The sequence below is a fragment of the Homo sapiens genome, chromosome 12 (assembly GCF_000001405.40).
Source record: "Homo sapiens chromosome 12, GRCh38.p14 Primary Assembly".
Taxonomy (NCBI): domain Eukaryota; kingdom Metazoa; phylum Chordata; class Mammalia; order Primates; family Hominidae; genus Homo; species Homo sapiens.
Window position 1 is genome coordinate 12,520,458 of NC_000012.12, and position 14,612 is coordinate 12,535,069.

General features: G+C 39.4%; 1 protein-coding gene across 6 annotated transcripts in view, besides 1 other annotated feature; it reads right to left on the minus strand.

Annotated features, from left to right (window-relative positions):
* The window catches only part of DUSP16 (dual specificity phosphatase 16), an 89,582-nt gene that overhangs the window by 47,176 nt on the left and 27,794 nt on the right, over positions 1–14,612 (minus strand). For all 6 annotated transcript variants that reach the window (NM_030640.3, XM_047429568.1, XM_047429570.1 and 3 more), the window contains one exon: positions 414–1,006. In NM_030640.3, the coding sequence (NP_085143.1) occupies positions 414–641 (228 nt within the window). In that variant the 5' untranslated portion in view covers positions 642–1,006. The remainder of the gene's footprint in view (positions 1–413; positions 1,007–14,612) is intronic.
* Positions 13,593–14,558: an enhancer, noted in NCBI's record as "H3K27ac hESC enhancer chr12:12686984-12687949 (GRCh37/hg19 assembly coordinates)". NCBI's record gives its function as "activates a minimal SCP1, AML or CMV promoter by ChIP-STARR-seq in primed H9 embryonic stem cells {active_cell/tissue: H9 hESC(primed)}" and the evidence as "EXISTENCE:reporter gene assay evidence [ECO:0000049][PMID:30033119]".

The following is a 14,612-nucleotide window of genomic DNA, read 5'->3' on the forward strand; positions in this document are numbered from 1 at the left end:
TGAAGATATCATTAAGTCTTGACCAATGTTACCACATGTGTTATGACACATAAAAAGCACCCCTAATAATTAGTTCCTACTTTCTTTCCAAAGAACTTGAAAAGAATGACTTTCCTTTCAGTAAATTTGCAGATAATATAGAATAGTGTTTAATAAAATCATTTTAGCAAGCCACAAGAAAATATAGCACTTGTCCAAACTAAAGCAAGTTAATCCTTCATAGTTTAGAAATATTATTAAATGTGGCAATATGGACAATAAATTATTTTGAGGTACCACAAGGCACCAAAATTTAAAAAGCAACCAAAACTTCCTCAAATTACTTTCTCTACTTAAAGAGGAGGCTTCAATTAAAATTATTCCTCATTCAGTGTGTCCATTTATTTTGAAAAGGCAAAAAGGAAAGCGTTTACCTTATGTTTCGCTGAATGCTGGATGAGCTCTGTAATTAACACTTTGTCCTGTTGCAACCTTCGCTTCATAAGCTTGGAGCAGTTGATATTAATGGCTTCCAAAATGTGGGATGTATTGTATTCCACAAATGGCCGGCTATCAATTAGCAGCACTTTTTCCGTTCCACTTTCCAGCAGAGCCACCAACCTCTCAGTAACAATTTGAGTTCCAATCATCTCATGGGCCATGACAACAATAAGTCCTCTTTTCCCACCTCCTTCTTTAATTTGCCACGATGATGTAATGGTGGTGTGCTCAAAGGCTCAGCCACTCCATTGTACTAAAAGTGTATGAGGTCAGGCTGGTGGTGACTGGCAAAAGGAGAGTTAAACCCATTTTCAGCAAGAGCCCTCCAAGTGAATGTCTCTTTCTCTTTCCCGTTGATGTGCTCTTGCAAAGGACTCCGTCCACAAAGCAGCCCCTCACATTTGATTCATAAAGAGATGACTGGAATAACCATTCCACAACAAAAGATGCTTTGGAGCAGCCAGCGCATTACATCATTCTTTACCTTTGCTCCCGCGCTCCAACAGCTTTACACTGGACTGAAAGCCTACGCGGAGAGAGAAAGACAGAAAACAAAACGTGAGGTCAAAAAAAGAAGAAAGAGTGTCAGATTAGAGAGAGTGTATGATTCATAATATTTACTCCATTAATCTAATTCCATACTTGATGCACTGCTTCATTTGAACAAACAAATAAAAAGGACAAATTGGTATGGCTTCAGAAAAATGTGCTAGTGATAATTCCATTTTACCTCAAAATGTAAAAACTCAAAGAAAACAAAACAAGACATATCATGAATTATAATCACCTAGGGCTCAGAACTAAATGACCTGTAGTATTGAATTAAAAGGGCTACAAAAAGCTGCTTGAAGTATTATTATTCCAAATAGTTTTCCTATATTTTATTTGCTTATTTATTGAAATCCCACAAAGAATGGCAGCTGAGGACAAAGTTAGCAATCCTGTGTTACCAGGACAAAAAAAAAAATATTTTCTGAAATGGCTTGAGAATTCCTGCGATGAATGGGTAGGTGTATATGTGTGTATGTGTGTGCACATGTGAGCTCACGCGAGTACCAGGGCGCAAACAGCAGCCTTTTAAAATTGCCCTCACGGAGGAGAGAAGATGCAGGAAAACTGGAGTTTCTATAAATTTCAGCTATCTTTTAAGGAAGAGGAAGGACAAAAACAACTGATATGTTTGTCACAGCAGCTGCTGAGCTAGGCCTGTGAAGTGCTGAAGCTCACAGCCATGGCCCTGTCATGTCTCCTTCCGGAGGCCATCTCCCTACCACCAAGTTGCTTAAGGCCCTGTAAGCTTATCCTTCACTTTTTCCTGCTTCATTCTTCAGAGAATCACTAACTCCTAGTCTTAAAAAAATCTCACCCCTTAACCTGGAACTCTAAGTTGGCAACCCAGACATAGAGAGCCCTTAAAGCTGAACCCAGTGCTTCCCTTTCTTGCCAAACTCCTTTAATCAATCACTTTCTAATTAACACTAGTTGAAGTTTTGCGCTTATTGCTTGGACTTCACCTTGACCTTCAATACTCTCGGATTCCTATCTCCCCTGGTCCATCTCTGCTTATATGAAATCCTCTACTACATAAAACTACATGTCTACTTCTGGCACTGAACTTCTAGAGGGTAAATTTTTTTTTTTTTTGAGACAGGGTCTTGCTCTGTCACCCAGGCTGCAGTGCAGTAGCACAATCTCAGCTCACTGCAACCCCTGCCTCTCAGGCTCAAGTGATTCTCCTGCCTCAGCCTCCCAAGTTGCTGGGACTACAGGCGCGCACCACCACACCCAGCTAATTTTTGTACTTTTTGTAGAGACAGGGTTTCGCCATGTTGCCCAGGCTGGTCTCAAACTCCTGGGCTCAAGCAATCCACCTGTCTCAGCCTCCCAAAGTGCTGGGACTACAGGTATGAGCCACCGCACCCAGCCTAGAGGGTAAATATTTGATTGCAAAAGTTTATTATATTTCTTACTTCTACAGTACTTTGGACATAACATACTCAATATATTATTATAGTAGGTAAATTCTTCCTTGTTCCAAAAACAGTTTAAGATTCTAAATAAATATTTGATTAGCTGATTTCAGGTCAGGATGTCAGAGCCTTTAAAAACCTTTAGATCATGTTTCCTAATTTTGTACTTACAAATTAGAAGCTAAAGCATGGAGACAGAAGGTGGAGCATGATATAAAGAGATGTAGCTTTGCCATTTACTTATGCAACCTTGGACAAATCACATAACCTCTCTAAACCACAGTTTCTTCACCTACAAAATGGAGACATTATAGTGGCCTCATCTCTTCAAATTTGGTCTGAGAACAAAATTATCTAATTTATTGAAAGCTGGTAAATAAAAAAGCAACTATGCATCATAGACAGGAGGAAAAATACCCTACAGATGCCAATGGCAAACAAAGCTGGCTTGCATCTGGCATCTGAAAGACATCACTCACAGATAAAAACAGATGTAATTCCATCCTCCTATAGTACAGCTGCAACCAAACTGTGCCCTTTCTCACAGAGGCTGACACACAGGGAGTTAGAAGGCACCTGAGATACTGTCTCAACCACACCATATTTTACAAACCAGCTCCATTTAATACATTATATTTCCATTTCTTATTTTCCAAGAAACAACTTTCATTAATGTATTATTTTTAGCATAGCTTTATGGTAATGAAGTACAAAAGTCATCTCTATTTTCAACTGAAGGAACTATAAGAGAGAATTTGTCCTAGTCAATCCACTAATAAACTTCTGCAAAGCGCCTACCAAAGCCATACCACTCAATCAGGTTCTGCCTGCTCAGTGACAGAGTTCACGGCAATGTAAGGTCCTGTATTCAGATTGTCTGATTCCCAAACCAGGGCTTCTACTACTGGGTTGCCCTGTTTTCCCTAAGTACTTGTTCCCATAATGGAACTGGACTGGGAAAGAATGATGCCAATTGTCCATGAGGGTACCCAGGTGGCACAGAAAGTGGAAATCCGAGAACAAGAGCAAGTTGATTCCAACAATGGCACTGGGTCTCTGAGTCTGATTGGCTCCTCTCAAAGAGATAAAATCCGGATGGGACAAAGCAGTTATCTGGGTTAGCAGATCAAGGGACAAAAGGAGGGAGAAGTCAGCAAACATGCAAAAGTTGAATTAGAAAGTTCTCATCTTTGCTTCCCCTCAGCCAATTCTCATAAACCCAAAGACAGGTTACAACAAACAGTTCTACAGAGCAGAGAATGTCATTCTTGCCCAGAGAATCAGAGCTTAGTTACAGATATAAAAAGACCCTTTCCCTGACCAAGAAAGGCTCTGGTCAAAGTGACTCTAAGCTGAGGATGTAAGTGAAGCATAGGGGTAAAAGTGAAGTGAGGGTGAAGTTCCATTCTTTCAGTGCTGTACTGAGGCCAGCTGGAGTCCTCCTGGTAGGACTTCATGCCCAAGGTCTAATTCTCTGTAGTGCTAAATGGGTGAGGTGAGAGGCAGAGCCCTGCCAAGGGATCATGGAGGGTAAAGTAACAATGGCCTTAATCTCTTTCATTTACAGTTAGAGAATTTTGGTTAAATCTCCATCACTGGCTATGAGTCTAATTTTAAAAATTTCTCTGTAGTTACTGTTTTGTTTTCAAAATCCTTTGCATTAGGTAAGATTTGAAAGATGACAAGAGAATATTTTGCTTGCAACATCACCAAGCTAATCTTACCCAGAATTTCTATAAGTCAAGGGGAATAAAAATTTTTACAATGAACCACAAAGGCTCAAGTCCATAGAACAAAATCCAGAGCAGACCAGCTTTGCTATTTATCTATTTATTTAGCCAGCTGCTAAAGTTGAAATACTTTCTTTAGATTTTTAAATAGGTAATATATTCATATGGTTCAAAAAAAGTCTAAAAATGTATACATAGTATGAACGTGTACAGTTTATTGTGTCACTTATACATCAATAAAGGTGTTTAAAATTGCCACGATATTGAAACTTCAGCAAATACATTTAAATAAAAAAAAACTAAATATATTCATAATCCTTCTTCTACCATTATCCTCCATCTGCCTGGGTCCCAACCCTGCCCTCTAACTGGTAACAACTTTTAGTAGTCTCATCTAATTTATTCCAAAGATTTTTTTAAATTAATATAGAATGAAGCACAAATATACACACTTTTCCTTCTCTTTGTTCAAATGGTTACAAAGTATAGACACTGTCTTGCATCTTGCTTTTTCTTTCACTTACAGTACTTGAATCTCATTTTTTTCAACATTTAATTAGAAAATGAATCAATCTATATTTCCATGGGCCTTGCATATATGCATGTCTGGAAATCTAAATAAAACATGTAGAAATTCTTTTTTTTTTTTGAGACAGAGTTTCACTCTTATTGCCCAGGCTGGAGTGCAATGGCGCATCTCGGCTCACCGCAACCTCCACCTCCCAGGTTCAAGCGATTCTCCTGCCTCAGCCTCTCCAGTAGCTGGGATTACAGGCATGCGCCACCACACCCGGCTAATTTTGTATTTCTAGTAGAGATGGGGTTTCTCCATGTCAGGCTGGTCTCGAACTCCCGACCTCAGGTAATCCACCTGCCTTGGCCTCCCAAAGTGCTGGGATTACAGGTGTGAGCCACTGCATCCGGCGAAATTCTTAAACTTAAAAGATAACTCCAGCTGGGCATAGTAGCTCATGACTGTAATCCAAGCACTTTGGAAGGCCAAGGCAGGAGGATCACTTGAGTCCAAGAGTTCAAGACCAGCCTGAGCAACACAGTGAGACCCTATCTCTACAAAAAATTAAAAATATATGTATACACACACACACACACACACACACACACACAATTTTCCCCCCTAGAATTACATACTAGAGTACCTAAGAAGCTGACAAGTAACTCATAATAGTGTGCTCAAAAGGTTAGCAAATTAAATGCTGGGGGTCACCACAGCTGGCCTGTTTTATGACATACTAGTTAGAGAGTACCCTCTATAACTACTCTGGCTTAAAAGAAAGTTAAAATGTGATGGTGAACATTCATGAAGTTATGGAAATTATCTTTTAAAGGATAACCTAAAGTCAGCAAGGCAGTATTTATCAAACTGAAGACTGGTAACCTTAATCAGGGCTACTACACAAAAAACTGCAAAGTATCCCAAGTTCAAAATAAAGGTTTTAAAAGACTATCTAGGAATAAAGATAAACTGAGTCAACATCTTAGTATAACAAAATGACTACAGATCATGGAAGAAAATCAGCAAATCTCCTAAAGAAATACCATTTCTGGTATATTTTTACCTTTCAGCAAATGATTTATGTTTTATATTTTATAATATTTAACACAAGTTGTATAACAACTTTCCCCCTTTAATATACAATTTTGTCTGTTTTTATATGTAATTTATTTTTATTTAGATTCCATTTGGTTACTTATGGAAATGTATTTATGACTATAACAGAAATCACTGGAGTTTTATTTCTTGAAATTCACTCTATATCCAACTCTGCACAAATACGGTGTATCAATGAAGTATGCTACTGAATAAGTTATGTTTAAGAACTGTAAGTCTATTTTTATGTTAAAGTGAACAGGTAGGGCCTGTTTCAACTAAGAGAACAACATAAAGTCTGTATAAAACCAGTATTTGCCATTAATTACTTAAAAGGAAAATGTTTTGTTTCGATTTTTATTACTTGTACACTTCAAAATTTGTGCCTAGCCAGAGAATCCTTTTTTTAAGATTATTTTTACGTGATTATATTAAGGATCTTCTTCTGCTTCCCAGATGATTTTTCTCTTCAACTTCCCAAACATGATCCTGGGTTCTAGGTCAGTCATACTGACACTGACTATATCCCACTCAGAAAAAAAGTGATAATCGCTCACACACACAATTTTTTTCTTTCTACCCATGGGTTATTTTCTGCTGGCAGCAATAGTTTCATCTGCTACTGCTACTGCTGCCCTAAAACACCCACTCCCAAGGCCTGCATCAAGGCCCACAGCAGGGGATGGGGCTCCAGGAGGAAGCGGGGGGTCCCACTCAGAGAGGCACAACTCCATTTTAAACATTTTCTTTTACAAAGAGAAATTATCAGGGAAAGGAAAAGGATCCCATAGCTATGGGGTGCTTAACAGGCCTGTTGAGTGAGGAGAGGGATTTAGTTTTATTTGGTTGGGCTAGAGCTCAAGTTCAAATTCTCAGTTTATGGAAAGGATATAATCAGGTGAGAAGTTTACTTTTATTAAACTACAAGCCTGACTTAAATTTTTTCCCTCCAACAAAACTGAAGAAACAGGCAACAAGATATACCGAAATGCCTTTCAATAGAGCCCTAAACACAGGCTTTCAATAACAGGAAAAAAACCAATCAAAAGGGAAAAAAGGAGACTATCATATCTGCAAGCAAACAAGAACTCCTTAGACTTTGACTGCCTCAATGCTACACAGATTAAAGCAACTTTATCTCATAAGCTGTGGGTTAAGATAAACTTGATAGAAATTCTGAGCTCTGGTATTTGGCAAATATATTCAATTAAAAAAATAAAAACAAACACAAAAAACCACCCTCACCAAAATCAAGAAAGCTAAGAACTTGGTGCGGCAAACCACCATGGCATGTGTATACCTATGAAACAAACCTGCATGTTCTGCACATGTACCCCAGAACTTAAAAGTATAATATATACTTTATAATATGTACTTTTATTTATAAAAGTATAAAACAAAGTAAAACTACAAACTTAATGTGCTTTTTAGCTGCCTATTAATGTCTGATCATATTTCCTTACCCAAAAATTGAGGACACATATTCTGACAAGTGATGGCAATAATGAGACTGCTTGAAGCAAAACTATTTAGATGATACTAGACCTGGAGACAGCAGTTATCCGCACCGTAGAACCCAGTTGCCTCGCACTGACATACCACACTGTTGAAAGCCGCCCCTCCAATCAGAGGTTCAGGTTGTTTACATACATCTCAAGGACCCACAGATAAAGGCTGGAATAGCAGTCAGCCTTCAAAGACTACCTATAATGCCTGCGCTTTTAGGCACAGGCCAGCCCAGGCAGAGGCCAAATCTGTGAGAAGCCTTCACCAAAGTTTCTGTTCAGGGCAAGGAGCACTCCCCTCCTGGTATTGGCTCAATCAGAGCTCTTGTCTTTTTCTTAGTACTGCTTCCTGTTTATGATCACCTGTTTCACCCGCTTCCCCTTCCCTGACCCACCTGAGCTCTCCTCCTCCTTCCCCCTCCCAACCTTCCTCTTTCCCTCTGCCACCCATGTATGTATCCTAGACACACTCCTCCTGGCCCACAGGCTCCTTCACCTACCCCTCTACACTTAATGCTTCCTCCAGACACGCTGCCTGAAAACTCAGGACCCTACCTACTGGGAGAGGGGCCGGTGTATGGAGGTGGTCTTGGGAGGGTAGAAATGGAAGGATCCCTGGATGAAGTTACTGGGCAAGAGGAAATACGGCCAGGGATTGGCTTAATCTGAGAATTGAGGAGAAAATGTTTTAGAAGGGTATTTTCAGTAAAGGTAGGCTGGAGGCAGGAGAAGAAAGATTTAGAACAAGCCAAACAGAGGTCAGATGGGGATTAATTCGTGCATCCTGGTTTTCTTGAACATCTGCCAAATCACTATAATTCATCAGGCCTACTGTAACTAATTCAGTCAACTAACAAGTACTTATTTGGCACCTAATATGTGCCAGGCACTGTGAAAATGTAGCAATAAATGAAAAAAGTATTCATTATAATTTATAAGTTATTAATGTACTGCCTGGTTATAAATTAACAAGGCAAAAATTACTGCCTTTCTGGAGCTTCTAATTTAGTGATGGGGGACACGATCAACAACAAAAACAAAACATTTCCTATGATAGACGCCGATAAGAACTAGGGAGAAAAAATAGAGCAAGAGCAAAGGGTGTGCGGGGGTGGCTGTTAAATTGTAAACAGAGTAGTCACAGAAGGCCTTACCTTGAGAACATGAGAGAGGAGAGTGGTAAGAGACTGAGCTATGTGGATACCTGGAAGATTGTAGCTTTCTGGGGCCAATGAATATACTAGCCAAGATAATGCTGAATTGGGCAAATACCAATAAAAGATGTGGCAGGTGTTCATGCTTTGTTCAGAACTATGGTTATATCTATTGGAAATGATGCATTTCCAGGAAACTGAACTTTTGTTTTTGTTGTTTTTTGAGACAGGGTCTTGCTCTGTCACCCAAGGCTGGAATGCAGTGCTATGATCTCAGTTTACTGCAACCTTCAACTCCTGGGCTCAAGTGATCCTCCCACTTCAGTCTCCCAAGTAACTGGGACCACAGGCATGTGCCACCACACCTGGCTAATTTTTATTTCTTGTAGAGACGGGGTCTCACTGTGTTGCTTAGTCTGGTCTCAAACTCCTGGGCTCAAACAATTCTCATACATTGGCCTCCAAAAGTGCTGGGATTACAGGCGTGAGCCACTGTGCCCGGCCAAACTTTTTAAATTAATGGATAAAACTGTATGTATTTATCATGTACAACACGATATTCTGAAGTAGATATACACTGTGGAATGGTTAATTCTACTAACAAGTGCATTACCACACATAGCCATCATTGTTGTGATGAGAACACTTAACATCCACTCCTTGAATTTTTCAGGAATACTATATATCCTCGTTAACTGTGGTCACCATGCTGTACAATAGATCCTTGAACGTATTTCTCCTAAATAATTATTTACTTTCACCAACATCTCCCCAGGCTTCCCCTCCCCATTAAACATCCCAGCCTTTGGTAACCATTCTACTCTCTACTTCCATGAGATCAACTTTTTCAGCTCCCATATATGAGTGAAATTACACAGTATTTGTCTTCCTGTGTCTTGTTTATTTCACTTAACACAATGTCCTCCAGGTTCATCCATGTTGTAGAAAATGACAGGATTTCCTTATTTTTTAAGGCTGAATAGAATTTCATTGTGTACATATATACCACGTTTTCTTTATTCATTCATATTTTGATAGACGCTTAGGTTGATTCCTTATCTTGGCTATTGTAAATAGCACTGCAATAAACATGGGTATGCAAACATCTCATTTTCTTTACTCAGTAATGGGATTGCTGGATTATATGGTGGTTCTATTTTTAATTTTTTTTGAGGAACCTCCATAGTGTTTTCCATAATGGCTATAAATAGTTCATATTTCCACTAACAGTGTATAAGGGTTTTCCTTTCTCCACATCCTTACCAACACTGATCTTCTGTCTTTTGAAAACAGCCATACTACCAGGAGTGGGATACTATCTTACTGTGGTTTTAATTTGCATTTCTCTGATGATGAGTGATGCTGAGCATTTTTTCATAGACCTGTTGGCCATTTGCATGTTTTCTTTGAAAAATGTCAGGTCTTTCACCCATTTTTCAACCAAGTTACTTGCTTTCTTGCCATTGAGTTGTTGGAGTTCCTGATGTTTTTGAGGTATTAACTATTTATCAGATGTATAGTTTACAAATATTTTCTCCCATTCTGTAGGTTGTCTCTTCACTCTGTTGACTGTTTCCCTTGCAGTGCAGAAGCTTTTTAGCTTGACATAATCCCATTTGTCTATTTTTGCTTTTGTTGTCCATGCTTTTGAGGCAGGCAATTGAACTTTTAGCTTCAGTGTGAAAAAACATATATATAAGAAAATTTAGTACAATTTCTTCCTTAAAACTACAAAGAGAGAAACTGTGGTTCCTATACAGTGCATTTCTTGGCAAAGAAATGAAAAGAAATCCTGTAACAAGAAAGATTACTATTAATGTTAATATTATACATTTTTTCCAACCCCACAAGTGTGTTGTATCTACTAAGAGAATCTTAGTTTTACAACATGGAATGTAGTAAAATATCAAAGACACATTAAGCAAGATATATGTGTGAAAAAAGTCTATACAAGGAGGTAGTTTAAAGGATCTTTACATTAAAAATTTTTTAAATGCTTTCAAGGTTCTCTCCTTGTCAGAAGGATCAAATACTTAACACAAGGCCTTTACAAGTTAGATTACTATATTGAAGGGGTTGATAACACTAAAATAAGTTTATAATCTTTATCTATTAATATATGCACCCCCTCCTTTAGTCCACACCAGCCCCAGAACAACAAAATTCCAATACATGAAAGATATAGTATACTTTGTTGACAAAGAACTAATTGACTAAAGGTATTAAGACCAGAGTAAACATCTGAACAATTTGGAACACAGTCTAAGGGGAGAGGGGTTATAATTTAATTTTTCCAAACAGGACTGGAAGGCTCTAGGAGCAAGCAATGGAATGCAACACCGACACCAAACTTCTCACCCACCTGCACTCAAGCTCAAGCTCACAATAGTAATATTCCATAATTTAATCTATTTTAAATCTCTTAGTACTAAAATAAATAAAATTAGAATGCTGAACTACATTCTCCTGAAGATAATTTCAAAATGGCTCACAGAATAAATTCAAAGTGACTTATGGCTGGGCATGGTGACTCATGCCTGTAATCCCAGCACTTTTTCCCAGAATTTTTCCAATGCCAAAAGTGTGTTGTATCTACTAAGAGAATCTTAGTTTTACAATATGGAACGTAGTAAAATATCAAATACATGTTAAGCAAGACATATGCATGAAAAAAGTCTACACAACAAGGAGGTAGTTTCAAGAATCTCCTTTAAACTACTTTTGGGAGGCCGAGGTGGGTGGATCACTTGAGGTCAGGAGTTCAAGACCAGTCTGGCCAACAGGGCGAAACCCCGTCTCTACTAAAAATACAAAAATTCACCAGATGTGGTGGCATGGGCCTGTAATCCCGGCTACTCGGGAGGCTGAGGCAGGAGAATCGCTTGAACTTGGGAGGTGGACACTGCAGTGAGCCGAGATCACACCACTGCACTCCAACCTGGATGACAGCGTGAGACTCATCTTAAAACAAGGCCGGGCGCGGTGGCTCACGCCTGTAATCCCAGCACTTTGGGAGGCCGAGGCGGGTGGATCATGAGGTCAGGAGATCGAGACCATCCTGGCTAACAAGGTGAAACCCCGTCTCTACTAAAAATACAGAAAATTAGCCGGGCGCGGTGGCGGGCGCCTGTGGTCCCAGCTACTCGGGAGGCTGAGGCAGGAGAATGGCGTGAACCCGGGAAGCGGAGCTTGCAGTGAGCCGAGATTGCGCCACTGCAGTCCGCAGTCCGGCCTGGGCGACAGAGCGAGACTCCGTCTCAAAAAAAAAACAAAACAAAGTGACTTACAAGAAAGTGCTTTATCTTTCAGTTAAAATACACATGAAAAAATACTGGAAAAGGCCTACATGTATAAGAAAGGGACAGACTGGCTTAAGTAACTTATAAATTATGATAAATCCTGCAACATGGTATGCAACATTTAAAAACGATGGTGTAAAAATATACTTATTGACAGCCAAGGATGGTCATGATATATTGAGAATAAAGTCAAGTCTCAGAACAGCTAGGTAAAATAGAACCTCAAACACCCACAGGCATACAAACACATACGATGGATATGTATAAAACATAGTAATAGTTTTACTTAGGTAATTAAACGTAATTGTCATACTCTTTTCCATAACCTTGGAAATTATGAAAAATATTAATATAAGGTCATGACATACATTCAGACCCAGGAACTATTACCAGGTCCTACTGTACTCCTTCTTCTCAGGACCATTATAAAAGTTTGGGTGGGCAAAGGTTAAGAAGATGAGAACTGGGCACAGTGGCTCATGCCTGTTATCCTAGCACTTTGGGAGGCCAAGGCGGGCAGATCACCTGAGGTCAAGAATTCGAGAACTACTTGGCCAACATGGTGAAACCCCATCTCTACTAAAAATACAAAACTTAGCTGGGCGTGGTGGTGCATGCCTGTAATCCCAGCTATTCGGGAGGCTGAGGCAGCAGAATCGCTTGAACCTGGGAGGCGGAGGTTGCAGTGAGCCGGGATCGCTCCATTGCACTCCAGCCTGGGGGACGAGAGCGAAACTCTGTCTCAAAAAAAAAAAAAAACAAAGAAGATGAACAAATGTAATGTATGGAAATTAATGTTTACCCTCAAGGTAAAAGCTGAAATGGATTTATAAAGAATTATTTTAAACAGCAATAATGTTTGAGGGGTGGGGGAAGTGAGAAAAATGAAATTTTAAATCACATGTTTATGACTATGAAGCTAGACTTTAAAAATAGGTCAGTTAGGGTATGACTCTTATAATACAAAAGTTTATTTGGTATACAAAGGATTTATAGCTAATGTATTTTTTAATTATATTCACTAATACTTGTAAAAGATCATTCAATTTATAAAGTTTCCAAAATAAACCTGTTTAAAGTGTCACAAATGCAACGCAAGATGACTTTCATTGCTCTCACTTGGAAAAGTGCAAATTCCTCTAACAAAGTATATGCAATGGCTTCGTCACTATTCTCAGCTCCTAAGCAGACATGCACAACAAGGTTTGAACACATTCCAGGCGTGGCCTTCAAGCCCGGACCACACCTGCTTCCAAGGCCCTGCGGCTAAAAATAACTCTGGGGCCTCAAAAATGGGACACCAGCCAGGCCCAGGGGTAGCTGCAGGCCCCTTGCTCAGCTTCAACAGCAAAAGCAGGAGCTACAAAAACTCTAAAATCACAGAACACTCCACCACAGGCTTCCTTCTCTCAGTCTCTTTGTGCCAGTCACCTACAACCTAGGCCTGCTCAGTTTCTTTGCTCCATGAGGGCAAAACTAACCCTAGGAATTTAGAGACAAGTGAGGTTATTGTTTTTAAAAGATACTGTGGACTAGGACTCAGGAGACCTTGTTCCTAATTTCAACTCATCTACTAAAATGCTAAAATGGCGTATACAGTGTCACTTGACATTCCCCAAGCCTGTGTTTTTCCTACTTGTATAATGAGGAATTCAGTGATCACTAATATCTAAAGATTATTTCACTTAGAACAAAAAGATATTGCTGTAAGTGTGCCTCAGTTCTCAGCAAAGTCTCCTAACAGGGACAGGGCTGACTTATCATTAAGCAGTCATATTATGGTGTGAGAGTTTATACCCTACAACACACAAACTAAAACGGGTAACTCTGGGGTAACTGTTCCAGGTAATTCCTTTGTGACAGGGGATTTTCAAGGCTTGCTCTGAGCAACTATTTCCACTTCTCTTCCAATCCCACAGTATGCAGGAGACCCCTTTGGGGATTTTGTTACTCTACCAGGTAAGGAAAAAAGAAAGGGCGGCCAGGTAGCAGAGAAAGATGCAGCAACAGCATCGCTGTTCATTCACTGCAGGATCCTAGTCTGTGCTAATTTAAGTCATTGCATCTGTCCGCACACTTCCCCCTGCTGGGGCCCTGGAAGTTAATGATATCAGGAAGCTGTATCAGGAGCAAAGTACCACAAAGTGACAGGCCAAGACCTAGGCTGAAGAATCACAGCACCACAGGAAAGCAAGGACACTAAAGGCTAGCGGAGTAGCCCCAGACGGGAGTCGGAACATTCTCTGTCCTCATCCCTTGGTTATTTTTTCCACTTTGTCCTTTCCACTGTCTTTTTCTATAATTCGGCTCCATCACATCATCTAACTGTAGTTTCTGGACCCTTCTTTTGTCCTTAGAGGCTTTGCTGTTTCTTCATCCTCATATTCATCTTAATTTCTCTCTTCATGAGTATAACCAAGCCTCTTCCTGTCTGATGTTAAGCTCTTATCATACATTCATTTTCTATTTTTTGAGGAGGAACTGCCAAGTCCCTTGATGTACTGCTATTATAACAAGTAATATTTTCCAGACTGGTTTGAGACAGTCACCCGTGAATTCAGGTATTTTATCATCTATCAGCCTTTAAAATCTTTGATTTGTTACTCTAAAAAAAAGTTTTATTTTGGAGGAGAAAGGTAAAATTTTTCCAGTTTGGTGTTTCACACATGGTTGGTTATACTAAGTAAAGATCATCAATTCAATATTTTACATTTATATTAGCCCTTAAATACCTCATGTTCCAGATACTAAGTCAGACTTCCACCTAAGCCTCACAGGAAGACACAAATTCTCAGGATTTTCACACTAGATTATTTAGAAAACAAACAAGATCTGAATTATTTTATAATCTAGTGCTCAGATTCT